We start from the raw sequence: 25,484 nt of genomic DNA on the forward strand, positions 1-25,484 counted from the left end.
GAATGAGATATAATTCTAAAACTTGTAAGGTTATAAAATAACCATAAGAACTATGATGATGTGGAATCTGGTGAAGGAGCCAGCTGGTGGGAGAGAGGGGCCTGGGGTGCCCCAGGCCGGGCAGGTCCCCTCCTATGGGACCTCTCCTCCACTCTAACTCTCCTCCACATCACATCAGGCCTCCTAAACGTGCACTGAGCTGGGACCTGAATGGCAGCAAGGAGCCAGCTGTGTCAATATGCAGGGAACAGCATTCCAGGTGGGGGGAACAACAAACGCGAAGGCCCAGAGGCAGATGCGGTCGGTGAGGGCTGAGGAGCTCCCGGGTGGCCTCTGAATTTATTCTCAGAGCAGTGGGAAGAGAATGGAGAGTGTGGGGCCAGAGTCTCATGGACCTTCTGATGGGATCCCTCTGGCTGCAACTCAGAGACCAGACAGGTGTGACCAGAGTGGACTGGGGACCCCGAAGAGGCTACTGCAGTCGTCCAAGCCAGACGGCGACAGAGTGGGGGTCCATCATGGTGCCTGGTCTGCCATTCTTTTCTTTTTGTCATTATTATTGATATGAAAACAGAGGGTCTCGATGGCAATGCTGTTCCCCCCCAAACATAGTTACTGTTTATTATTATTCCATCTCACAATAACAGCATATTATCTTTACTGTTCCTGTTATTTTTTTCTGTGCTGTTAGGGCGGGGCGGGGGATCTCCATGGCAGGGTCCCCACCCCAGGGATGTTTTTGGCTGCCCCATGACTGGCTCATGGCCTTTGGGACAGTCCTACTCCATAAAAGTCACCCTCCCTACACAGTTTTCAAATGACCTGGCCATTCAAAAAAACCTGCCAGAACCAGTCCAAATACTAGCTGTTTCTTAAATGTCACTCTCCTCTCCCCCCAGCACTGCAGGGCTCTGATCTGCTTTCTCGCGAATCCACGCTTACTCATTCTGAGTGGGAGCCAGCCACTCCTCCCTCTCGTTTCCCCGCTTCCCCTTACCCGACGGTTGGGGCACCGCACAGATTTTTGCTGTTGTTGTTAATTCTGTGTCGAGTCTAGTCTGTATTAAGGAGGAATTTCATTGCCCAGGAGTAGAGGGGATTTCCCAAGTCTATGGGGTAAATATTGTCAGGGTGGTTGGGATGCAGTGTGGCGCTGAGCCAGGGAGCTAACCTCTCTGAGCCTTCGCTGCTTGCCTGGCAATGATGATGGTTGCTGGGTCACGAGATCACCGAGAGGATCAGATGAATTCACGTGGCATGTGCCGCACTGAGACAGGCAGGCACGCAGCTGAGGGGCTGGCGGTGGGAGGGGCAGGGCCGCGGCTGGAGGATAAAATCCCACACTCCCCGCTTGGCCGGGTGGCCCACTGCCCGTCTGGCTTTCGAGGAGATAAGCCGCCTGCTCAGGTTCACGTTCGGGATCAAATGAACCCACTTAATCCCCCTAGGGATCTCTGCTGAGCTGGCTCCTTGGGGGCCTGGGGAGGAAGGCAACTGAGCCCCCTGCAGTAGAAACCCCCACCCGCGAGGCCAGGCACAGAGAAGGTACCAAGGGCTTCTGCCCCAGCGCCGGGGCACAGCGGGCTGAGGGAGCCCCAGGACAGAAGCGGTCACACATCATGGGCTCATCATCACAGCCACAGTGACTCCTGACTCCCCACTGCAACCCAGGAGGTAAATGCTATTACGAACACCCTTCTCCAGATGGGGAAACCGAGGCCCAGAAAGAAAACAGCCCGCCTGAAGGTGACAGAGCGCCTCGCCGTATCACCAGCAACCCCTCAAGATAACCTTATCACGTTTCACGGAGGGAGAGAGGGCGGCAGGAACGGGGCCTTGAGTCACCACCCTATCCCACTGGGAAGGCAGGGGTGGATGGGCAGAGTGTCACGCCTGCCTAGGGGAAGTACACGCTAGGTACTTATGGCAAGTATGTGAATGAACAAAATCTACATGCTGGGCGCAAGCTCCGAGGAAAACTCCTTCGCAGGACCTTTCTCCCCTCCTGAGGTCCCTCTCTAAGATCCTGTATCGCAGGGGTCTGGCGGGAGTGACTGTGACCCCCAGAGGACCGCAGGCAATGTCTGGAGGCATTTCTGGCGGCAGCAAAGGGGGCTGAGGTGCTACTGGGGTCTGGTGGATGGAAGCAGGGGTGTTGCCCAGAGCAGCCCCTGCAACAGAGAGTGACCCAACCCCCAAAACCCGAACAGTGCCCAGGCTGAGAACCCTGCCGTTCTTACCAAATGCATGAGAGTGTCAGTTGGGCACCCACTGTGTGCAGGGCCTCCCTGCAGGACACATTCAAGAAGACGAGGTCACAGGGCTCAGAGAGGCAAGGCTTCCTGCCCCACCTAATGGAAGGAAGGCAGAGGCGGGACCTGAACCCAGGTCCCACTGACTCACAGCCCCACCCCAGCTGCCAAATACCTGCCCCATCCTTCAGGAGTCTAACCTACTGGGTCTAGAGTGGGGGCTCCACAATCTGTATATCTCATAGCTCCTTCCCCCAGCAGCCACTGGCAGGGGGAGGATGGTGAACGGGGGGGAGGACAGCTCTGTTCCTTTTCATCAGAAACTACATTGGCCAGGAGGCTGGCAGTCTCTCTCTGGGGGGTAGGAACGTGGTTGTATTTTTTATGTGCAAGCTTTTCCTTCCTGATTTTCCAGCTTATAGAGAACACATTTGTTCTGCTTCCAAAAACCAAAAACAGTCTTTTATGTAAAGCAGCTGCCAAACCACATGCCCAGCCTGGCCCTGGGTGGCTCCACTAGGACCTGGCAGGGGGGCCCACACCTCAATGGAGAGAGGGCTGACCCAGCAAAGCCCCCGTGGAGCACCCCTGGCATCACCAGGAGAAGCCCAGAGCTGGCAAATCCACTGGCCACGGCACCCAGGCACCCAGAGGTGCTCTCTAGAAAGTCCCCGGCAGCCCCTTCCCATGGCAAGCACCAAGTAGCTTTCTCCAGGAAACACACCAAGCTCACGTCACATCCCCATGACAAAATACTACAAGAAGTTAAAATTAGCCAACTGGATCAAAGCTGGTTTGCACCAGCACATGGTGAAAACCTGTAATCATACAGATAAAAATAATGATAGCTAATGCCACGGTTCTGGATGCTGTGTCTATTACCCTTCTAATTCTCAAAACAACCCTAGAAGGTGAGGACTGCTTAGGTCCTCATTTTACATATTAGGAAACTGAGGCAGAGTCATGTGATAAGGTGCATGAGAACAAAGTGTCTGGAACCACTCAGGTCTGCCGCTTGTCTAGCCGAGAAAACGACTGCACTGAATTATATACAAAGCTGTCAATACTCGACCACTTTTGACCTACAAAACTAGCAGTCATACGGCTCCCCCAGTAGCAAACAGGAGAGCAGCGCGCACAGATCCACGTGTCCACAGACAAGGCAGGTTCCCAGGCCGTGCAGCGATACACAGAGGCTCGTGGAAAAGCCCAGGCCCCAGTGAGAGGCGGTGGCCTCCAGGAAGGGGGCTCCCGTGACTTGAAAGTCACCTGTCATTTTTTTCTCTTTTAACAAAAGCCACCTTAGCTTACAGCCCCGAGTCTGGTGTCCTGGGCTAAGGCTCGGCCGGCCTGGTCTCCCTCTCTCCTCTCTCCCCTGGCCGCCTCTTTGCCCCCAAGACCCCACATAGTCTGTGACAAGCCAGTGGTCCTCCTCGGGGTCTGGGACCTGGAGTCTCTTCCAGCAGCCCAGGAGAACCTCTCCCCACTAAGGATCGAGTTTCACTTAATTGCAGGCTTCAGGTTTCTGCATGCAGGCCCAGAGGCCTGGGGGAAGGAGGCGCGGGCCGTTTTCTTCCTCTTTTTAATAAGCTGGAAGGCAGCAGCATGTGCCCTGCTGTTCTGAGAATCCGGAACACCCGCCCCTTGGGAAAGGCCGCGGCTCCAAGAGCCCACATGGGAGACCCAGCCGGGAGAAATCAACTGTGGCTTGTCATGAGACATGCTGGGGACTTATTTATTTTCTGGTCAACCATTGGGACCAGGTACTCCAGCTGGACTTAAGGGATTAAAAAAAAAGAAAAAGTAAAAAGGGGCTGGGTGCAGTGGCTCACACCTGTAACCACAGCACTCTGGGAGGCCAAGGCAGGAGGATCTCCTGAGCTCAGGAGTTCAAGACCAGCCCGGGCAACATAATGACACCTCATCTCTACTAAAAATCAAAACAACTGGCAGAGCATGGTGACATGTGCCTGTAGTCCCAGCTACTCAGGAGGCTGAGATGGGAGGATTGCTTGAGCCTGGGAGGTCGAGGCTGCAGTGAGCTGCGAATGGAGCTGGACTCCAGCTTGGGCAACAGAGCAAGACCCTGTCTCAAAAAAAAAAACCACTAAAGAAGAGAAAAGAATAAAGAAAGCACAAATGTCTCTCTGCCTCTGTGTGTTTCTTTTACATTTTGCTTTTCACTAGCACAGCCCTTTACCGTTTGCAGGTTTCTCTCTTCACTCTGTGCTCTTCAGCCACAGCCCCCAGGTCAAGGTCAAGAAACTGAGGGGTCACTTAATTCCAAGGTCACCAATGGTAGGAACGCAGCCATTGTCTCCATGACCACATCACCCACGGCCCTGTTCCCGGTTGCTGGTTCACAGGGAAATCACAGGCTCTGTGGGGGCAGCAAGCATCCTCTGTAACAATGACCACAAACTCGGTGACTTAAAACAGCACAAGTTTTTTCGGGGGGGTTAGGAGGTTTTTTGGTTTTTTGAGACAGGGTCTCACTTGGTCACCCGGGCTGGAGTGCAGTGGCATGATCACAGCTCACTGCAGCCTCCAACTCCAGAGCTCAAGTGACCCTCCCATCTCAGTCCCCTGATTAGCTGGGACCACAGGTACCATGCCCAGCTAGTTTTCTATGTTTTTTATAGAGACAGGGGGTCCCACTGTGTTCCCCAGGCTGGTCTTGAACTCCTGGCCTCAAGCGATCCTCCCACCTCAGCCTCACAAAGTGCTGGGGATTACAGGCGTGAGCCACCGTGCCCAGCCAGCATAAGTTTATTACCTTACAGTTTTGGAGATCCAAGGTCTGAAATGGATCTAACAGAGCTAAATTCAAGGTGTCGGTAGGCTGCATCCAGTCTGGAGACTCTAGGGGAGAACCTGTCCATCACCCTTTATGGCTTCTAGCGGCTGCCTGCACTCCTTGGCTAATGGCCCCTTCTCCATCCTCAAAGCCAGCAACGCAGCATCTTCAAATCTCTCTGACCTCCTGCCTCCTTCTTATAAAGACCACTGTGATTACCTCCAGCCCGGGCAGATAATCTAGGATAATCTCCCATCTCAAGGTCAGCTGGTTAGCAGCCTTAATTCCATCTGCCACCTTAAATCCCCTTTGCAGCATAAAATAATATATTCACAGCTTCTGAGAATTAGGACATCGTTCGGGGGACCATTACTCAGCTTAACACAGGCTTCAAAAACAAAAATCTTTAGGCCTCTAGGGAACTCCCAAGGCCCCACCCCACAGATTCTGAACTCCCAACAGGCGATTCCCCAGGGTCCACGTGCCTCAGTCTCTCCACTGCTACACAGCATGGGTGAGCATGACCAGTGCCAGCACCTGTACGTGAATACACGTCCCCAGCAGTGCAGAGTCCAGCATCTGATGAAAACGTGATCAGACAGAGCCCTGTGGCCTAACACTAGAGACTTCCCTCTCTAGATTAACAACAAAGAACTTATCAATACTTTTGAGCAACGTTTTTTTTCTGACCAGTCACAAATGGCCCGATTGTACAGCCCATGCTCTAGTAAGATCCATAAGAAATCCCCCCACTGCTGAAACCTACGCTTCCTCACGTCCCTGCATGCCAGGTTGCAGAAGGCTTTGCAGGGTAGAGCTGAGCTGCTGTGGGGCACCCACGGGAGGAGACGTCCAAGAGCCCGAGCTGCATGCGCCCCCACTCCGCAGCTGGTGTCCCTCAAAATGGGGAGTGGGGGAGCTGGGGAACCAGAGGCCACCCAAAGCTGCTCAGGATGTCCTTGGCATGGTCAGCACCCTCCCCTGCAGCTCCTGGTGACTACGCTCTCACAAACCCCCACTCAGGAGCCAGGGCCCCGGGGCAGGCCAAAAAGGAACAGGGTGAGCCCTGCCCCATAAGCACATAATGGCGTGAGCAGCGTGAACCCTCCTGATGCTTAAAGATGACCGAGGGCACGACAAAACGCCTTCCTTGCTTCAAAGCCCTTTTGCGTCTCTTTCCTGCCAGAGGTGCCGCGAGGTGGCATCACTCCCATTTCACAGGTCCCAGAGACGCTGTGCAAAAAATCACACAGCAATCTGGCAGTGGGGATGGGTGTCCAAGGCTCCGTGCCCTCCCCATGGCCCACCTCCCAGTCTGGGGCCCTCCAGGCAGTTCCACATCGTCATGGCCCTCCAGCCTCCCACCACCCAGCTGGGCATCCAGACAGGGAATATCTCCTCTGGGAAGCTCCCCTCCCCAGGTTCCCTCGGTGCCCCCTCCCACTCAACTCCCCTCTCTCCAAGGCAAAAGCCAGGCGCCCCCTTCTCAATGTCAAACCTCATGCTGTGCCCTCCGCACCTCCAAGCACCCCCAGGCACTCCTTACAGCACCGCGAGCACAGAGGCGGCCTGGACCCACGGACGGGGGCTGTGACACAGAGAGGGCAGCGAGAGCCTGAAGGTCACACAGCAAACCAGAGAGCACACACCCGATGCGCAGCACGCTTCCACCTTCCACGTTCCCACTGAGGGCCGCACAGTTCCGGGAGGTGCCGCTGCGGCAAGGGGGCAGCGCCCAGGGCCCAGGTGCCGGGAGATGCAGCTTCCTGCCCGCCGCTACAGCTGCTATTTATAGCTGAGCAGGGAGAAGCCAAGACAGACAGGGTCAGCTTCCTGCACAGCAGAGCTGGCCGCAGCCTGGGAGCCTTCGAGGGTGACCCGGAGGGGAATGGGTTGGGTCAGGGCAGAGACGTGGGCTTTGATGTCCAGGATTGGGCACGTGGTGGACCCAGGACTGTCCCTGGTCACTCCTGAGGACCACAGTCCAGGGGAAAGGGATGAAAGCACACAATGGGCCCTGCCCATGACAGCTGCCCACCAAGCAAGGAGCTTAGGAGCTGTGTGTCCTGAGCCAATGATATCACCACTCTGTGCCTCAGTGTCCCCATCTGTAAACAGGGAAACTAATAGTTCTGGCCACACCGGGTTATTGTGAAGCTTAGATGAGCTAACCCATGTGGTGCCAAGCGAGCTTGCCTGCATCCTACCAGCTCAGGGCCCTCTCTGGAGCACCCTCACCTCTGCCCCTCCCTGCTCAGACACCAGACAGCAACGCTGGGGCAGGGGGCACCCCTGCACCAGGACACCTGCAGAAGCAGCTCTCCCTACTATACCCTCCAGTGTGTGCACAGCTCACAAAGCCCAGGGAGCCCGAGCAAGTGGCAGGCACGGGGGCATCCCGACCCAGCCCCAGGGCACAGACAGCTGTGACAACGTCCGCAGGATGTATACATGCTCGGGTGTCATCGCCACAGCAGTCCCCCCAAGCGTCCACTCCCCTACGCACCAGGGACTGCAGTTACCCCCATTCTACAGATGCGGAAACGAGCACAAAGTGACAGAAAGAACTCTGCTGAAGAAACGCAGAGGGGCCCCCCACCATTCCCAGAGTTCACCAGGGTCTCCTATCTTGCCAAACAGCAGACAAGTCTTGCTGGCCCCGGGAATCCGCCCAGAAAGCTGCAGTGGGTTTGGACCCCCCAGAACTTGGTTCCTTGGGGAGAGGAGCAAGGGCCAGGAAGGATCCGTCTCGGGCCACCCATCCATGGGAACTCGGGTTTAAAGTCCCTCCCCGGTCCCTGGGGTCGCCTGGTTGTGATGCCCCAACTTCCTCCAAAAATTGGCAAAGGGAACACCCACACGGCAAACTGAAAACAGTAAGCACTGGCCCAGCCCACATGGAAGGCTTCTCTGTGCTCCCAGCGTCAGGCAATAAGCACCTTCATGTAGGACCTCCCATAACGCTCAAGACAACCTCGAGAGACGAGGAATCTGATTATGCCCATTTTATAGATGGCGAAATGGAGGCGTGAAGGCTGAATTAGGCAAAACGTGGTTCTCCCACACCCTGGCCACTCTGGGCCTCTCTGTGGGCTTATGTTCACCCGTGGAGCTCAGAGGCCAAGCTCAGTGCTAGCAAGGGGTGGTCACGGCCACCAAGGGAGGGACAGAGAGGGAATGGCCACAGGCTCAGTGACCTGGAGGCTCTGCGGGAGCAGGAGGGGGCCACAGGTGAGGGAGGGTACAGGTGTCAGTCACAGGGATGGATGGACAACCTGGGACTCCCAACGGGCACCAGGGCACGAGGCAAGGCCATGCCCAGCCAGAGCCCAACACTCAACACATCTACGAGGCACCCACAGTGTGCCCAGCACTGCTCTAGAACCTGGGACACAGACAGACGTCTCCACCCTTGTGGAACGTCCATTCTCGCAGGGATGACAGACAACAGCAAGATGACAAACGTGTGAAACCATCATCTATCAGAAGGTGGCACACTGGGAAACAACCGAGGGAGGGAGGGGAGAGGGTGCAATTTTCAATATGAAAATATCAGGCCAGGCGTGGTGGCTCACGCCTGTAATCCCAGCACTTTGGGAGGCCGAGGCAGGTGGATCACCTGAGGTCAGGAGTTTGAGACCAGCCTGGCCAACATGGCAAAACCCCATCTCTACTAAAAATACAAAAATTAGCCATGTGCGCCTATAATCCGTTACTCAGGTGGCTGAGGCAGGAGAATCGCTTCAACTCAGGAGGCAGAGGTTGCGGTGCATGGAGATCATGCCACTGTACTTCCAGCCTGGGCAACAGAGCAAGACTCTTTGTCTCAAAAAAAAAAAAAAAATCCGAGAAAAATGGCAAAGGAATGAGACGAGGCCTGCGGATACCAGGAAAGAGTGCTCCGGCAGGGTGAGTGCAAAGGCCCCGTGGCGGAAGCTGCCTGGTGCATTTCAGGAGAAACAGCGAGGCCGGTGTGGCTGAGACAGAGCGGGCAAGGGGAGCAGGTCGCAGAGGACGGCCCACGCCGGGGCAGAGGGTAGAGCCTCACGGCCCAGGTAGGGAATCAGCTTTCAGAGCAGCAGCGGGACTGTCCTGCCCTGGGTTTTCCTGCCCTGGGTTTTACAGGCCTCCCCCTGGCTGCCACGTGGGGGATGGGTCTCAGGGTGACCAGTGAAGAGCCAGCTGTGATGGGAGCTGTGTTCCCTTCCTAGAACTGCTGTAAACAAAGCTCCACACGCCGGGGACTTAAAACAACCCACTGTTACTTTGTCACAGTTCGGGAGGCCAGAGGTTCAAAATCAAGGTGTTGGCAGGGGTGGTTCCTTCTGGAGGCTCTGCGGGGGAGTCTGTCCTGAGCCTTCCTCCCAGCAGTCCCTGGCACTTCTTGGCTTCCAGCCACATCGCTCCAGCCTCTGCCTCCATTATCGCACGGCCTTCTCCTCTGTGTCTTTTTGTCCTCTTATAAGGACACGGGCCACTGGATTTAGGGCCCACCCTGCTCCAGGATGACCTCTTCTTAATTAAACGCATCCACAAAGACCTTGTTTCCAAATAAGGTCACAGCCTGAGGTTCCAGGAGGGACGTGAATGGGTGGGAAGGTGGCACAGGCACTGTCCAACAACATGCAGCAGCCTAGGCCAGGGGATGATAGTGGCAGACGATGCGAAAATAAAAATATCCAGGAGGGTGGCAGATGGCGTGGGTGGGCGGGATGGCAGGTTAAAGCAGGTGTCTCCCAACTTCTCCCGCTTGCCTTCCTCCCCTGGTTTACCCAGCAGTGGGCATCACCCAGGAGCCACCGCCACACAGAATTCCTCCCAAATCCTGACCCTGTGGACCTGGCCAAGCCCCCAGGACCCAGGAAAGGCCCCCTGACTCCTGCCAGGCTCCAGAGGGCGACATCCCCTGCAGGCCCCCATGCTGACAGGCCTGGCCCAGCCTAGGGAAAAGCCCAGGCCAGGGCCTGGAGCTGCATCCGGCCCCAACCCCACCCGGCAGGCTCTCCTCTTTAGCTTCAGGAGCAGGGCTGGCACCAGGCAGGTTCCCATGGTCACCGAGACACTATAGCCACACTGGGGCCCATGCTCCCTGATGGTCTCAGCAGGTACCGCAGAGTTCAATGTGAGGACAAACAGAGTCCTTCGAGGCCCTCCCCTGTGGGTCTGGGCCTCTGGGACTAACGACTTCAGAGCATCCCCAGACAGATCCCCTGGGTCACAAAGAAAAATCAACTCTCCCACCCACCCCCCCTCCAGACCTGGCCCAAGGTCTCCCCAGCCCCACCACAGAATTGTGGGGAGCGAGCCAAGGGGAGGCCACAGGTGGGCAGATGGGGGGCGTGCAGGCCTCCTTGGCTGTAAGAAGGATTCTGATTTTTGTTCAAGAAATGGTGGGAAGCCCTGCAGGCTGATGAGGTCAAGTCACTCTAGCTGCTGTGGCTCCACTGGGCTGCCTGCAGAGAGGGGACTGTGGGTACAGGATGACAGCCAGAGAGCAGGCAGGAGGCGGCTGCAGTCCCAGGTGGGCCATCGAGAGGTGGCTGGGACCACGTCTCTCACTCCAGAAGGACGCCCAGAACAGGGGCCTGGGGGATGCGGGGGTCAATGATCCACTTTTGCATAGGTGGGATCCGAGGTCCCTTTGGGACATCCCTGAGCAATGGCAAGGAGACTGCTGGGTCCACCTCCCTGACCCTGGGGTCAGTGCCGTGGGCCCACGAGTCACAGTCAGGAGGGAGAGGGGCTACGACACGGTCTGCAGGGACAATTGCACCCCAACGGGCCCCTGAATGCCCTTCACTTCACAGCCTGTGAGCCACGTGTCACTCATCACCCCATTTCACCGCCAGGGAAACTGAGGAACTCCGCGTGGAGCCTTTATTATTGCCCAAGGCCATGTCACTCAGACCTGTGGGTCCCCCCAGATCCACTCATCAGCCCTAAAATGCAAATATAGGCCACGGAAAACCAAGTGAACCCTGGGAGACAAGAGGCGGAGAGGGCCTCCGGACCCCAGAAAAGACTGACCCCCAGGAGCCACCCGGCCTGCAGGCACATACGCACAGACACATGCAGGCCAGTGGTGACTGGTCACCCGGGTCTGGTCCAATTCCACCTCCAACAGCCCACCCTTTGACTTACCTTTCCCCCCACTTCCTTTCCAGATGCAAAGAAAGGCCAGCAGGAGAAGCAGGGGACCTGAAGCATCAGCCACAAGTCCAGGTTGGAACCAGATGGCCCAGAGGTCCCTTGGCTTCAGACGCACTTGCAATATTGCCTCCAAAACAATCCCGAGGTCTCCGGGTACCACAGTGCTGAGCCCCCCACCTCCAGGGCATTCCCTCAGGCCAAGCAGTTCTCGAGGGCCCCATCCGGTTCTCAAATGGGACATCTTTCACCATCCAAGTCACTCACCGTCATCTTCCCAAGTCGGACCCCAAAACCGTGCTCAGTTCTCACCCAGGGTCTGACCTTGGTTAAGACACTCCACAGGGCCAGCCTCTGGTTTCCTCCTATGGAATGCTGGTGCAGGGGATGGTGCATGAAAGCATCTTGCAACAAGTGTTTTCCTTTGCTCGGCTCCTGCCTGATCCATTCTGCCCCTCAAGAACTGAGACAACTCTCAGGAATGTGTAAGGTAAGATAAAAATCAGAGAGCAAGCTCAGGGCAAAGGGAAAAAAAATGAGAGACAAACAAATCCAAAATCAGGATGAAGTAGATAAAGCCAAAACATAAACCAGTGATTGCAGAAAGCAGGCTGCAAAATTTGGCTCTGAGCTTCCTAGTAGCCAAAGCAAAGAGGGAAACAAGATGGATTACGGCTTTGGAAAATTGTGAAAACGACGCAGTGCCACAGAGTAGGTGCTACAGCAACTATATACCACTCTAAAGTCACCAATTAAGAGGCCAAAAAATTGTGCCAAAAATCAGGCCAAGTGCTTGCTGCCTTAACCATCCCCTCTTTCCTACTGCATTCTACAACAGCAAATTATAACCATGAGCATCAGCGTAACTCAGCAAGAACAGGAGCCCAGGCTAGAAGGAGGGGTTTTAGGGCCTACCTGGAATGACCTTCAAACTCACACCCCTCTCTGGGCCACAGTTTCCTCAACAGGGAAACCGTGCAAGGCTACACTGAGGTTCAAAACAGTGAGGTAGTATATTAGGGATCGGCAAATATCTTCTGCAAAGGGCCAGAGAGTAAATATTTTAGGTTCTGTAGGCCTTCCAGCCTCTGTCACAACTACTCAACTTTGCAAACGCTGTACCCAAAAGCAGCCACAGACAACATGTAAATGAGTGAGCGTGGCTGCATTCCAACAAAACTTTATTTATGGACACCGAAATTTGCATTTCATATGATTTCACATGTCATAAAATATTATTCTTCTTTCGATTTTTTTCAACCATTAAAAAATGGAGAAACCATTCTCAGCTTGTGCACCATACAGAAACAGGTGGTGGGCTGGCCGGATTTGGCCCAAGGGCCATAGTTTGCCAACTCTTGCTTTCTACGTTCCACAATCGGCTCCGAAACATATTATCACGTAGGATGTGACTATGACGGCGAAAATCAAACCTGAATATATGGCGTGATACCACTTGCATGTTTGTTTTTAAAGGGAACGCACACATACAGTCCATTTAAGGCCGACATATGCCAAGAGCATCTCGGAGGAAACTCAGGCGCGGGAAGCTGTGACTGCCTCGGGGAACAGAAACTGGGAGGCCAGGAACCGAGGGAGACTTTTACGCAATGTGTTAATTTTCTTTTTTACAAGTCAATGCATTTTCTTTCATTTAAAAAATAAGCTTTTATAAAGCCCAAAGCAACTGGCAGAGTTTTGAATGCATTACTTTTTGTTTTTCTACATTCTCCCCAAGAAGTATAAAAAGCAACATTATCCCCAAAAATGTTCATCAAAGAAGTCCATGATGTATTAAGTCATATCATAACAAAATAAGTATGATCCCACTTAGAGAAAGCAGATAGGTGTCTTTTGCAGGTATCTGCTTGTGCAGACAGATACCAGCAAGGGTGCTAACCTAGGATTCCTCCGGGTCCGGCTGGGTCAGCCCCCATGAACCTGCACAAAGGTTTTTCCACATGAGCTCAGCCCCAGGAGGTAAGAACTGCCCACACTTCGCAGGGACCTGGAGCTGTCTCCTGCTCCAGGAGAAGTGACAGCTAAGGAAGGATGTGGGAAGACGGCTCCGTATAGTAGGAGTCACTATGGCTGCACTGCCCCGTAGGGTCAGTGGCCACCAGCCACAAGTGGCTACTCAAATTTATTAAAAGTAAAAACTAAAATTTCATCCCCCGGTTGTGGCACTGGCCTCACTTCAAGCCGTGACTGCCTTGGGGAACAGAAACCAGGAGGGCCAGAATGGAAGGAGACTCCCCCAACAGCTTTGGGCAGTTTTAATACCCAATGCCCCACGTGGCTGTTAGTTATGGTACTGGCATATCTAGAACATTCTCACCAATGCAGAAAGTTCTATTGGACAGCGCTACCCCAGAGGCCGGTGGGAGAGGAAGTGGGGGAAGAAAGAGTGAGATGTGGGAAGAGGAGGGAGACAGACGGCAGGGAGAACGGACCAGCCCAGAGGGCACACCAGGCTAGGTTTGGGAAAAAGGACCACTGAAAGGGGAAGACCCTCCAGGATGGCACCACGCAGAGAAAACACGCATGAAAAGGGAAAAAAATCAGGCCAGACGCAGTGGCTCACGCCTAGAATCACAGTGCTTTGGGAGGCTGAGGCGGGAGGATCACTTGAGCCCAGGAGTTCAAGAGCAGCCTGGGCAACATAGAGAGACTCCATCTCTACAAAAAATTTTAAAATTAGCCAGTCATGGTGGTGTACACCTGTCGTCTCAGCTATTTGGGAGGCTGAGGCGGGAGGTTAATTTGAGCCCAGGAGTTCATGGCTGTAATGAGCTGTGATGGTACCACTGCACTCCAGCCTTGGTGACAGAGCAAGACCCTACCTCAGAAAAAAAGTTGGGGTGCAGGTGGGGCATTGGGGAAGGAATCAGATACCAAGAGCCCAGGCCCTGCTCCGAAACACAGAATATGACTTCATCACCCAACCCTGTGCCCTCGGGTTAAGTAGCCATTAGCCACAGCCACAGGTGGCTGTTTAAATTTAAGTAAATTAAAATTAAATAAAATGACCAGTTCAGCTGCTCAGTGGCAGGGACCCACTTTTCAAGTGCTCCCGAGTGACAGGCACCTAGTGGCTAAAGCACGGGACAGCGCAGCCGTATCATCTCCCATCACCGCAGGAGTTCCCAGACAGCCCGTCTCAGGCTACCCTCTAAGGCGGGCATTATTTTCTTTCCCTCCCTTTTAAGAATCAAGAAACCAAGGCCAGAAGGTCAGAGGCTTCACTCAAGTTCTTAACAAATGGAAGCACGATTCAAACCCTGCTCCTTTTTTCAGAGACCAGGAGCAGAGGGGAAGCTCAGCCCTCCCCCAGGGGGCCTCCCCCACCCCGTCCTCCCCACAGCCTTCGCCCACTCTCCGGGCTGCCCATGACCTCCAAGCACTCCAAGTGCCTGACAGACACTAAGTGATTAAAGACTAATGGAAAACCTCAACCGTCAAGGGCAGAGGCAGGGAGCTGAGCACATTTGTGAAACACCAACGACCAACGGGAAAGGAGCCCACCGTCTCCAAAGGGCAACAAGCCGAAGCCTGGGGCTCTGGAAAAGAGACAGGTCCATCAGAGGATCTTTCCCAGCAGCTTTTAAGAGGGAGGAATGGTTGATATCCGAGCAGCCTGTAGGTGAGGACCCGGGTTTACACAAGGAATTCTATAGTGAAGTCTTTGCTCTCCAACAGGATAAGCCAAAATGGAAACTGCAGCTCCTGTGTGTCCTGCGACACACAGGAGCTCATTATATCTCACAACCATAAAGTCAGAAGCAGCAGCAGCACCCCCATTTTAGAGATGAGCAAACTGAGGCTCACAATAGGTAAGTAACTCATTCACAGCTTGAAGCTGCAGAGCTGAACAGCAAACCCAATATTCATGCCCTTTGCCCCTAAAGGCTCTCCAATATGGCACAGGTGGCCGGCAATGTGCCCATTTTGCAGATGAGGGCACCCAAACCCTGAGAGCAAGGGGCACTCACCTGGGCCCACTGCTTGTAAATGGCCAAGCTGGAACTTCCAATGCTAAATCAGCGGCTCTCTTGGGGATGGCAGATGAAACACTCCGAGATTGTCCTCTAATATCTGGTTAGGACAATTCTTTCTAGATTTATAAACCAAAAGCTCCTTCCTCAAGGCTAGCTGGAGCCAAGTGGGCAGGGCAGTGTGGAAGTGTCCAGGCTCAGAAGCCTCACTCTGCTCCAAAATAGACATGATAATAACAATGATGCTAAGTTCATTCATCATAAGCACAGGTCCCTCCGCTGTGCAACCTCAGGCGAGCCTGGACCTGTGCCCTCATCTGTAAAATGGGAATGAAGCCGCCATCTGCCCCAGGGCCTCACTGAGCAGAAGCCCTCCGGCTACACAGTACCCGAGGGCAACGCGCCCAGCCTATGGGCACTCCAGGCCACAGAACTCTGCCGCTGCAGCTTTCTGGAGCACCATGCTAAATAATTCAAAACCATGTTTTCATTTCAAAACAAACACAGCAGTGTCGCCAAGGCGAATGCCAAATTTGCATGAATGTTTCAGATAAAATGAGACCTCAAAGAAATGCCAGGCCCTATCCTTCTCCCCAAACCCTGGGGAGAACGAGTTCTCAGTCTCCTGCCCCACCTGGGGCAAAGATCCGTAGGTGCTGCTCAAAGAAGAAACATCATTTCTTTCTTCATATCCTCTACGGCAGCTTTGCAAAGCAGGTCTGCAGTAAATTCCTGCTGCACTAACACGACCGTGAATAATCCCAGGTCTTAATTCGTAGTTCCACATCCAAGCTGTGTGACCTTGGGCAAGTTACTTAACCTCTCTGTGCCTCAAGTTCACCATCTATAAAATAAGATAATAAAAGCACCAACTCATAGAGGAGTTATGAAGAGTAAACAAGCAGATTTGCGTAGAGCACGGTTCCTGGCACACAGTAGGTGTTGGTTCTTATTACTAGCGTATGATCCACAGCCTTTTCCAACATGGAGGCTGAGAGTTCGCCGGATGGGTTGTAAAGTCAGTTCCCTGGCTCCAAGCTCCCTCAAAAGATGCCCAGCTGGCCTTTCCCAAGCATCACTTCCCTGGGGACCACACGCACCCACCTAGGGACACAGACCTTCTGTCACCCTTGGCCTGGGCCTAAAAAACCTGGCTCTCCCCAGGCAGCAGCTCAAGCTTGGGGCCCTCCTTGCCCCTCCCCTGGGCACCTCAGGCAGGAGTTACCAGCTCCCACCGGCAGTTCCCCAGTCTCAAAAGTGTCACCTGGGGAGGCTGCTGTTTAGCGTTTGAGATGTGAAGAGGAAACAGGGAAGGGAAAACACACACACACAAATAAAAGCTCTCAACCCCCGCCACCCCACCCCCACCCCCACCCCCGGCCCACGGTCAGAGGCAGCATTTGTGGGGCTTTTCAGTTCAGACAGCGGCAGGAGGAGGGGCTGAGAGCCTGTCTCCTCTGCCTTAAAATCTCCCTTCCCACAGACAGGACCCCAGGAGAACCCTCCGGCTGGGTTCTGCGTAGGTACCACCCCCGCCTCCCATCTCCGAGTGAAGCACCAACTTCTCCACCCACACTCTCAGATGGGGGTTGGGAACACAGAACTATGAATGCGCCCCCTCTCAGCCAGGGGGAAACGGGGCCAGGCAGCCTCCACATCCAGCATGAATGGCAGACGCTGGGGGCCAGGACTCCTGGGGCTAGCTTCCAACTCCCTCGGTGGGTGTCTGCGCTGCCAGCGCCCCCTGCCCCCCACCCCCAGGCCCCGAGAACAATCAAGCCGTCCCCAGCCCAGGGCTTCCATGCAGTAAATTCGTGTTTGCAGAGCTCTGGGAAATCTTTAGGAGGTGGCATGAGTATTATTAATTGGGGAAAAAGAACAGATTATGCCAAATAAATCCTTCCCACATAACCAAACCCTCTCCGAGAGGGGGAGGGGGAGAGCGCAGCCCCAGGAGGGGTCTCCATCCCTCACCAGGGCCTGACAGCCACATTACCATTTACATGGATTTATCAATAGTATTGATCCCCAGCAGCGTAAATAGCTCAGTGGGAAGAGGCCAGGGCTGGGGCCTGCTGCGCTCCCGCCCCCATGTCTGGGCACCGGCACCACAGACTCCCCCGGCACCCGCTGGCGGTGGCAGCAGTGAATTTCCAAGCAGGGACACGGCAGGCGGCTCAGGGAAGCCAGACAGAGCCCGGGATGCCCTGGCAGCCGCGCTGCCGACTCGCCAGTCACCGCTGGCTCCACCCCCCCTTCATTGCTCTGCTGGGCCTGACTCAGTCTTTGCATCTGTTCAATGGGCGGGGGCACCTGCCCTTCTCCATCCTCTCCGGACAAGCAGAGGGGAGTGGGAAAAGGCCCCCTCCCTCCCCCAGATCCCCCCACTGTCCACCCCCAGCCAAAGGTAAGGTGGCCCCTTTTCACAGGGCTTCCAGACCACGTTGGATTAAAGGCCCAATCTTAGAACCCAGGAATAATAATACCGACACAGTAGTCATAGTAACACATACAAGTACCAAGGGATTCTTATGGCCGGACGGTCAGCTCTCACAACCACTCTGTGAACTCAGTACCATTTTGACCCTCATTTTGCAGATGGGAAACCTGACAGGCACAGAGAAGTTAAGCATCTGTCCAGGGTCACACTGCCAGGAAAGTGGCAAAGGTCAGAGTCAAACCCCAGGAGCTGAGGTGCAGAGTGGGCCATCCCACCTCACTGCTGCTTGCCATTTCTCGGCCCCTCCTCAGCACCCCCAAAGAGGCCACCCACGAGGTACACAGCCTGCCCCGGGTCGCCCTCCCGGCGCAGTCTGGCCCGGAGAGCCCCTTATATCAAAGCTGCCGCAAGGACCCAGATCTGGCTGAAAAGGGGCAAAGTCAAGGCCACCGGTAACACATCCCAACGCGCCCAGAACTCCCCCACCCCGCCCACAGGGTCCTCCCCTTATCCCCTCCTCCCCTCTTCCCTCCCTCACACATCCTTCCTCCAAATCTGCAAAAAGGGAAAAATAATAATAATCACAATAAAACCAGTTCTCACCAACGGGGGAGAGGAGGAGGGGGAGGAAGGGAGGAGGCTGAGCCGACAGAACAGATCCGCCCCCGCTGCCTGCACCAGACCCTCGGAGAGCCGGAGCGCGCGACAGGCGGCGGGAGGACACTCGCTTCCAAAAAAATAAACCTACAATGTAAAAATAACGCCGGGCGCCCCACGCTAATTGGGCCCGGGCGACAGCAGCTCCCAGGTACAGCCTGTCTCTCCCTCCCGCCCGCCGTGCCCTCCCGCCCTCGGCTTGCTCCTCCTGCAAGTGTCTGGGGCGGGGAGGGCGTACCCCACGGGTGCCCTCACTCCCCGCAGGCCTCTGAGGAAGCTGCCCTCTAGACAAGGGTCTGGGTCTTCCCAGTCGTGCCCAAGTGGGATCAGCTCTGAATTCCAACTTCGCAAAGTAGTGGCATCCCAAGTATCCGCACAGCCCGGGGGAGGGACTAGGAGGCGGCCCAATGAGGCGTCACCAGCCACGGGAGGCAGGCCCAGACACCAGGAACACCGGCCCGCGGGGGAGGGGGACCAGGGGCGACTCTCCCGAGGGACCCCGCCCAGCGCCCCGTGGCCCCACGCCTAGGAGGGACAAGGCTGGCTCTCCCCCTCGGCTGGTGAGAGACCCTCATGCGCCCCTCCACAACAGCCAGGCCAGGGAGCTAGGGGTACCATCTCCAAGGGCTTTCAAACCCGCGCTGCCCGATGGAAAATAAGGCGCAGTGTCGCCCCGCCAGGTCCGGGGCTACACCGGGTACAAGGGACGCCTGGCGGCCAAGTCCCCAGAGCCGGCGCACACTGTGGGGGGCCGCTCTGTGCATTTCCAGCGCGCCCCCCGCCCACCCCAACGCCACTTCCCTCCTTCCCGCCCCCTCGCTAGGGAGCTGGAGTTCCCCTAAGTTCCCCGGCGCCCCCGAGCACGCGGGCCGCAGTGTCGGCGGGGCGCCTTGCTCCCCAGCAGGCCACCCCCCGAGAGCGCCAACTCGGGAGTGCAGGGGCCCCGCCAACTCCGCCGCGTGCGCCGCCCGATCCTCCCCGGATCCCCCGGAAGCGCGCTCCGCGCCTCCCCCCGCCCTTCGCGGGGACCCTCGGCCCCAACTCACCTCGCGGAGGTGGCAGCGGTGGCGCCCGGGCTTGGGGCGCGCTCGGGCCGCCGGGGCGCTCAGGCAAGTGGCGGTGCCGATCGGGCTGGGGGCGCGCAGCAGGCCCGGCCTCGGGTCGGGACGCGATCCTCCCGCCGCCGCCTCCTAGGGCGCCGGCCCTGGGTCCCCGGCCCGCAAGTTGGCGCGCATCGCGGAGCGCAGGGCGCGGGCGCAGGGCTCGGGCGGGGCGCCGGCGGACGCGGGGCTCCGGTGCGGCCCGGCCTGCCCGCGGCTCCGCGCTCCCCGGCGGCCGCGGCGGCGGTGGCGGCGGCGGCGGCGGCGGCGGCGGCGGGAGGGGGAGGAGGGGGCGGGGCGCGAGCCCGGGAGGCGGTGGCTCGGCCTCCCTGCTCCCGGCTCCCCGCCCGCAGCGACGCGCCCCGGCCCGGCCCCCTCTGGCTCCTTAAAGGGCCCGCGCCTTCTCTCCAGGCCCTGCGCGTCCCCACTCGCGCGCGCACGCCGCCACACACACAGACACGCACGCACACACTTGGGCGCGACGCCGAGTTTCTTTTTGGCAGCTCCCCGAGGAGGAAGGAGGGGGGAAGCGCCTCCCAGCCTTCCCCTCCCTCTTCTCCTGCGGGCCCGGGGGCCCTCCTCCTCCTCTCCAGCCCCAGTACCTCACTGGAATCGCGTTTCAGCTATTAAATTATAACTCTGGAGTGGCCGCTGGATGGGGAGGGGGCGCGCAGGGAGGGCCCTACACAGGGCCTTTTAGGAGCACGCCCAGTGGGGCACTTGGGGACGGGAGCAGACAGTAGCGCAGAGCCCTCTCCAGGCAGGAACACGCTGGGCCTCCCCAGACCCGAGACCCAGCCCGGGCGAACACACTGCAGACTCACCACCCACCACGGACCGGAGATGTCAGATCTCACACAGACAAATACTGGGACACCCACGCGAGTTCACAGCACCCCGGAGGACACAGACGCTAGAATGCCAGTTTCCTGAGGGCAGAGATTTCTATTTTGTTCACTGCCCTATCGCAGTAGGGACTCACGAATGTGTTGAGTGAAGTCCCACTTGGGGACATTCAGGGACACAAATGCGGAGACAATGCAACGAGCCTGTGTCCCCCCCGCCCCCCCCACACACACACACAGACACACACATCCCAAAGCGTGACCCTGGGAGCCACACACGCCCGGCCTGCACAAGCACGCAGTCACAGACGGCACACATGTGCTCGCTCCCCCACGCACAGGCAGACACTCTCCGCTCCAGCAGGAACCTGGCCCCCCTGGCCGCCCTGACAACCCAGTGTCCTCATTTACCCCCTCCTCCCACCCCCTCCAGGTTTGCCCTCTCCAACCAGGGCAGATCTCTTTGAACAGCAGAGGGCACTGGGAGCCCTGGGCCTGGAGCCTCCCTCCCTCCCTCCTCTTCTGCTTTCTCCTAAGATGTTGGAGAGTTTGAATTTTTTTTTTTTTTTTCAGTTCAACTTTCCTTTTTTGGAGTGACGTCTCAGCAGATTCAGTTCTGCCATCTGGCAACATCTGAGAACCCCCAGGGAGAGCGGGGAATGGCTGCGGTGGGGAGGCAGCCGCGTGGTTTCCAGAGGCCGGCGGGCCTCCCGCCTCCGCCAGGATGCTGGGTTTGCCGGGCTCCCCTGCAGCCAGGTCCTTCTCTGCCCCCTCGGGCTTTTAATTATGAGCTTTTGGGGGGCTGGCGGGAGCCTCTGGGGCTGACAATGTCTGGCAAAAGGGAAGTGGGTGTGGAGGGGAGCAGTTTGCAGACTGAAACAGGAGGGGTCATAGGTCAGTGCCCCCCCCCCACCTCCTTGTTTTGGCCCGACCAGCTCCAGTTCTGCCCAGCCAGTCGGTCCGAATCCACAGGCAAAAAGCTGGAGCCGCAGAAGGAAGGCCTGATCCCCCACCTCCCCCACCAAGGGTCTTGGAGAGGGAAGCGGGGGCGGGGGAGCTCCTCTGCCAGCCCCAGGCCGCCTGGCAGCCCTCCTCTGTCACCTGAAAACCCTCTGGGAATTTGCATTTCCATGAGATTCAGCTCTATTTGAAGCTGGAGGAGGGACATTTGGGGTGTCTTCAGGGGTCTCCCAGCTTCTGCCCTCGAGGGCTCCCTGCAGGCTTAGGAGCGGGGAAAGCAGGGGGTCTGTCAGCTTTGTAATGTCCCAAGCGTCACCTAGAAATCCCTCACTGGAAGCCTTATCAACTCAAGCGCCAATGGCCTCTGGCCCGACCATGTCACAGATGGCAAGACTGAGGCCAGGAGAAGGGCAGCGTTTATCCCGAAAGGGATTGGCCCTTTCCCGTCTGCTCCTGTTTCCTGGCTGAATTGGGTTATTAATCTCACCCTCACAGACGGCGGGGAGTAACACCAGCACTGAGTGAGCACTTACCCTGGGGGAAGCAAGGGGCCTGGTCCCAAGTAGGGAAACAGGCCTGGAGAGATGAAGAACCCGACTTGCCAGCCTCCAGCAGCAGCCCGTGATTCCAAATGAGTGCTGGAAATCTGGACTCTGGGGAGGTCTCAGCTGAGCCCGCCCCTTCCCCCAATCGCAGACCGGCACCCTAGTTTGCTACTTTGTTTCTACTGGGCTCTGAGTGACAGTCCATGAGCAACTAATGGGAACAGTACCTTTAAAAAGCGGCCAAAGAACACTGCACACAAACAGCCTTCCCGGGGGGGCCCCCTGGACTGTGAGTTAGTAACAGTAACAGCTAAGAGCTTCCCAAACATCTCAATTGCCTTTGTGAGGGAAAGACTTTCAACATACCCATTTTACAGGAAGGGAGAGGGAGACTCAGTTGGGAAGTCACCAGGGACACTGGGAAGCATGTTGTATGTGTCCCAGGCCAGGCTGCAGCTGGCTGGAGCATGCTGTATATATATCCAGGGGGCTCCCGTCCAGTTGGCGCCAATTTCTGCCCCTTGGGCTTTGTCTCTACCATCTCCGGCCCAATCCTTCAACCATTCCTTCCTAAAGACTCCCTCCAATCCTTCAACCATTCCTTTCTAAGTACTTGGCAAAATAGTCCAGCTCATCCCCGCCTCAACACCTTTGCACTTGCTGTTCCGTCTGCCTGAGACTGTCATCTTCTATCTTCAGGTCCCAGCTCCTTAGAGAGTCCCTTGCAGCAGGGTGCAGTGGCTCATGCCTGTAATCTCAGCACTTTGGGAGGCCGAGGTGGGTGGATCACCTGAGGTCGGGAGTTCGAGACCAGCTTGACCAAAATGGAGAAACCCTGTCTCTACCAAAAATACAAAATCAGCCAGGTGTGGTGGCACATGCCTGTAATCCCAGCTACTCGGGAGGCTGAGGCAGGAGAATCGCTTGAACCCAGGAGGCAGAGGTTGCAGTGAGCTGAGATCATGCCATTGCACTCCAGCCTGGGCAAAAAGAGCGAAACTCTGTCTCAAAAAATAAATAAATAAAGAGAGAGAGTCCCTCACTGACCCTGTATCTGAAGAAACCGCCAAGGCCCTCACTAACTCAACATCCTATTCATTTTTGTCACCATTTATCACCACCTGAAACTATCCTGGGCATTTGTCACTGATATATATTGTCTTTGGTCACCAGAATGTCAGTTCCATGAGAGCAAAGACCTTTCTGGCCAGCTCACTGCTGTATCCTCAGCACATAGTGGGCACTCAATTCAAATGTGTTGCGACTGAATTAACACATGAATGAATGAATGCACCAACAGAGGGGGAAGGAGGCAGGTGTTGACCCTGGAAAAATCTAGAAACAAGTGGGAATGGCTGATCCTGTATCTGTGTTTTCCAGCACTTGCTCCTTGGGCATATTTTAGGATGAAGCCTTTACCTTTCCACTGGTCCCAACCTCTGGGTAGATGGGACTCCCAGGAGCTTGAGGTTGCAGTGAGCTGTGATCACACCATTGCACTCCAGCCTGGATGACAGAGCAAGACCCTGTCTCTAAAATATGTTTTATTTGGGCCAGGCGCAGTGGCTCATGGTGTAATCCCAGCACTTTGGGAGGCCAAGGCGGGCAAATCACCTGAGGTCAGGAGTTGGAGACCAGCCTGGCCAACATGGTAAAACCCCATCTCTACTAAAAATACAAAAATTAGCCGGGTGTGGTGATGCATGCCTGTAATCCCAGCTACTCCGGAGGCTGAGGCAGGAGAATTGCTTGAACCCTGGAGGCGGAGGTTGCGGTGAGCCAAGATCATGCCTCTGCACTCCAGCCTGGGCAACAGAGTGAGACTCCATCAAAAAAAACAAAAAAAAAAAAGTTTTATTTGTTAGCCTGACACCCAAGTGATGCCCATTCAGGCTAATCAAGTTCACATGGTCAACCATGGTATCAGATCAAATTCCAGCCACTCCTGGAAAAAATTCCCCACCTTCAAGGTGGGCCTGGAGGAACAAGGCATCTATAGGGTGAGGACTCATGCTGGGGGACATGGTGCCCTGAGCAGCTTTGACCCTGGCTACCCCAGGAGCCCTGGACTAGCCACTGGATCGCACCCAAGGGGCCTATGTCACACTATCTATCAGTAACAACCCAATAGACACCCAAGTGAGCATCCCTGGAGCCAAGCCTCACACGCACACCTAGAACTGTGTCTGTGTAGAAAAAGCTTATCTATGTTTTTCTTACTTTTGATGTGCTTTGAAGCAGAAGTTGCAAACTAGGCGGATCACCTGAGGTCAGGAGTTCGAGCCCAGCCTGGCCAACATGGTGAAAACTTGCCTCTACTGAAAATACAAAAATTACCCGGGCATGGTGGTGCATGCCTGAATTCCAGCTACTCAGGAGGCTAAGGCAGGAGAATGGCTTGAACCCAGGAGGCGGAGCTTGTGGTGAGCCGAGATCATGCTACTGCACTCCAGCCTGGGCGACAGAGTGAGACTCCATCTCAAAAAAAGAAAAAAAGAAAAGCCCACAGGGCCTGGCAGAACAGCCAGCCCAGAACTGGAGGAGAGGGTGAGATATGCCCGGGCAGGGCCCTCGGCACACCCTGCACCTGTCCCAAGGCGTTTTTATATTATTTTTTAGAGATAGGGTCTCGCTCTGTCACCCAGGCTGGAGTGCAACGGTGTGATCACAGTTCACTGCAACCTTGAGCTCCTGGGCTCAAGTGATCCTCCTGCCTTGGCCTCCCAAAGTGTTGGGATTAGGCTCTGCCACCCTTCTTTAAAACACAAGAGCCACGGCCGGGCACAGTGGCTCACGCCTGTAATCCCAGCACTTTGGGAGGCCGAGGCGGGCGGATCACGAGGTCAGGAGATCGAGACCATCCTGGCTAACATGGTGAAACCCCGTCTCTACTAAAAATACAAAAAATTAGCCGGGCGTGGTGGCGGGTGCCTGTAGTCCCAGCTACTCAGGAGGCTGAGGCAGGAGAATGGCGTGAACCCGGGAGGTGGAGCTTGCAGTTAGCTGAGATCGCGCCACTGCACTCCAGCCTGGGCGACAGAGCGAGACTCCATCTCAAAAAAAAAAAAAAAAACAACACAAGAGCTACCAAACCAAATACTAAATGCCTCTGCAGGGAAGAGGGTGGACGATCACTTGGAGCAGGCCTGTTTGTGACCCCTGCAAAGCGTTAGTTCCCCAAACCAGTTTTCCACTCAGCTGTGGGTGATTCCCACCCAACATGGAAGGATCAGTAGGGGTGGGGAGTCAGAACCTTCCTCAATGGTAAAGGGACCCTCTTCCAAAAATGTAGGCAGCAAGGTGCACTGAAGGCCCTGACTTCACCACAATGCAATACATCAATGGAGCAAAATTGCACATTGTTGACGCTGCCACCTCAAGAGCCCTGGGCTGGCTGTCACAGAGCACAGGCAAGGGGCCTGTGTTACACTGTCAGCGACAACCCAAAAGACACCCAGATGAAGAGCGTGCCTGGGGCCAAGCTATGCAGGAGGAGGAGAAGCCTGGTTTCAGTGACGGCATCACAGTTTTTTGTTTTTTTGCTTTTTGTTTTTTGTTTTTGAAATGGAGTCTCACTCTGTCACCCAGGCTGGAGTGCAGTGGCACAATCTCGGCTCACTGCAACCTCTGCCTCCCGGGTTCAAGCGATTCCTCTGCCTCAGCCTCCCCGGTAGCTGGGACTACAGGCCCGTGCCACCACACCTGGCTAATTTTTGTATTTTTAGTAGAGATGGGGTTTCACTATG

The 25,484-nt window shown here is 55.9% G+C and overlaps 1 protein-coding gene across 3 annotated transcripts in view, besides 16 other annotated features; it reads right to left on the bottom strand.

The window, feature by feature from the left end:
• NCOR2 (nuclear receptor corepressor 2) overlaps nt 1-19,639 on the bottom strand; it is a 243,198-nt gene extending 223,559 nt beyond the window's left edge. For all 3 annotated transcript variants that reach the window (NM_001077261.4, NM_001206654.2, NM_006312.6), the window contains exon 1: nt 19,335-19,639. The gene's annotated coding sequence lies outside the window, so the exon portion shown is untranslated. The remainder of the gene's footprint in view (nt 1-19,334) is intronic.
• Nucleotides 1,087-1,326: an enhancer, noted in NCBI's record as "active region_7292". NCBI's record gives its function as "activates an Ori minimal core promoter by ATAC-STARR-seq in GM12878 lymphoblastoid cells {active_cell/tissue: GM12878}" and the evidence as "EXISTENCE:reporter gene assay evidence [ECO:0000049][PMID:35858748]".
• Nucleotides 3,210-3,504: a silencer, noted in NCBI's record as "tiled region #4202; K562 Repressive DNase matched - State 5:Enh". NCBI's record gives its function as "represses a minimal TATA promoter and a strong SV40 promoter by Sharpr-MPRA in K562 cells {active_cell/tissue: K562}" and the evidence as "EXISTENCE:reporter gene assay evidence [ECO:0000049][PMID:27701403]".
• Nucleotides 3,210-4,106: a biological region, named in NCBI's record as "H3K27ac-H3K4me1 hESC enhancer GRCh37_chr12:125035807-125036625".
• Nucleotides 3,288-4,106: an enhancer, noted in NCBI's record as "H3K27ac-H3K4me1 hESC enhancer chr12:125035807-125036625 (GRCh37/hg19 assembly coordinates)". NCBI's record gives its function as "activates a minimal SCP1, AML or CMV promoter by ChIP-STARR-seq in primed H9 embryonic stem cells {active_cell/tissue: H9 hESC(primed)}" and the evidence as "EXISTENCE:reporter gene assay evidence [ECO:0000049][PMID:30033119]".
• Nucleotides 3,690-3,984: an enhancer, noted in NCBI's record as "tiled region #979; K562 Activating DNase unmatched - State 5:Enh". NCBI's record gives its function as "activates a minimal TATA promoter and a strong SV40 promoter by Sharpr-MPRA in K562 cells {active_cell/tissue: K562}" and the evidence as "EXISTENCE:reporter gene assay evidence [ECO:0000049][PMID:27701403]".
• Nucleotides 7,726-8,483: an enhancer, noted in NCBI's record as "H3K4me1 hESC enhancer chr12:125040245-125041002 (GRCh37/hg19 assembly coordinates)". NCBI's record gives its function as "activates a minimal SCP1, AML or CMV promoter by ChIP-STARR-seq in primed H9 embryonic stem cells {active_cell/tissue: H9 hESC(primed)}" and the evidence as "EXISTENCE:reporter gene assay evidence [ECO:0000049][PMID:30033119]".
• Nucleotides 10,002-10,761: an enhancer, noted in NCBI's record as "H3K4me1 hESC enhancer chr12:125042521-125043280 (GRCh37/hg19 assembly coordinates)". NCBI's record gives its function as "activates a minimal SCP1, AML or CMV promoter by ChIP-STARR-seq in naive H9 embryonic stem cells {active_cell/tissue: H9 hESC(naive)}" and the evidence as "EXISTENCE:reporter gene assay evidence [ECO:0000049][PMID:30033119]".
• Nucleotides 12,590-12,884: a silencer, noted in NCBI's record as "tiled region #1212; HepG2 Repressive non-DNase unmatched - State 19:H4K20". NCBI's record gives its function as "represses a minimal TATA promoter and a strong SV40 promoter by Sharpr-MPRA in HepG2 cells {active_cell/tissue: HepG2}" and the evidence as "EXISTENCE:reporter gene assay evidence [ECO:0000049][PMID:27701403]".
• Nucleotides 18,385-18,484: a silencer, noted in NCBI's record as "silent region_5061". NCBI's record gives its function as "represses an Ori minimal core promoter by ATAC-STARR-seq in GM12878 lymphoblastoid cells {active_cell/tissue: GM12878}" and the evidence as "EXISTENCE:reporter gene assay evidence [ECO:0000049][PMID:35858748]".
• Nucleotides 18,685-18,904: a silencer, noted in NCBI's record as "silent region_5062". NCBI's record gives its function as "represses an Ori minimal core promoter by ATAC-STARR-seq in GM12878 lymphoblastoid cells {active_cell/tissue: GM12878}" and the evidence as "EXISTENCE:reporter gene assay evidence [ECO:0000049][PMID:35858748]".
• Nucleotides 19,045-19,154: a silencer, noted in NCBI's record as "silent region_5063". NCBI's record gives its function as "represses an Ori minimal core promoter by ATAC-STARR-seq in GM12878 lymphoblastoid cells {active_cell/tissue: GM12878}" and the evidence as "EXISTENCE:reporter gene assay evidence [ECO:0000049][PMID:35858748]".
• Nucleotides 19,175-19,534: a silencer, noted in NCBI's record as "silent region_5064". NCBI's record gives its function as "represses an Ori minimal core promoter by ATAC-STARR-seq in GM12878 lymphoblastoid cells {active_cell/tissue: GM12878}" and the evidence as "EXISTENCE:reporter gene assay evidence [ECO:0000049][PMID:35858748]".
• Nucleotides 19,645-19,894: a silencer, noted in NCBI's record as "silent region_5065". NCBI's record gives its function as "represses an Ori minimal core promoter by ATAC-STARR-seq in GM12878 lymphoblastoid cells {active_cell/tissue: GM12878}" and the evidence as "EXISTENCE:reporter gene assay evidence [ECO:0000049][PMID:35858748]".
• Nucleotides 20,015-20,064: an enhancer, noted in NCBI's record as "active region_7293". NCBI's record gives its function as "activates an Ori minimal core promoter by ATAC-STARR-seq in GM12878 lymphoblastoid cells {active_cell/tissue: GM12878}" and the evidence as "EXISTENCE:reporter gene assay evidence [ECO:0000049][PMID:35858748]".
• Nucleotides 20,231-21,091: an enhancer, noted in NCBI's record as "H3K27ac-H3K4me1 hESC enhancer chr12:125052750-125053610 (GRCh37/hg19 assembly coordinates)". NCBI's record gives its function as "activates a minimal SCP1, AML or CMV promoter by ChIP-STARR-seq in naive H9 embryonic stem cells {active_cell/tissue: H9 hESC(naive)}" and the evidence as "EXISTENCE:reporter gene assay evidence [ECO:0000049][PMID:30033119]".
• Nucleotides 21,092-21,952: an enhancer, noted in NCBI's record as "H3K27ac-H3K4me1 hESC enhancer chr12:125053611-125054471 (GRCh37/hg19 assembly coordinates)". NCBI's record gives its function as "activates a minimal SCP1, AML or CMV promoter by ChIP-STARR-seq in naive H9 embryonic stem cells {active_cell/tissue: H9 hESC(naive)}" and the evidence as "EXISTENCE:reporter gene assay evidence [ECO:0000049][PMID:30033119]".

Source organism: Homo sapiens, chromosome 12 (genome assembly GCF_000001405.40).
Source record: "Homo sapiens chromosome 12, GRCh38.p14 Primary Assembly".
NCBI classification, from domain to species: Eukaryota; Metazoa; Chordata; class Mammalia; order Primates; family Hominidae; genus Homo; species Homo sapiens.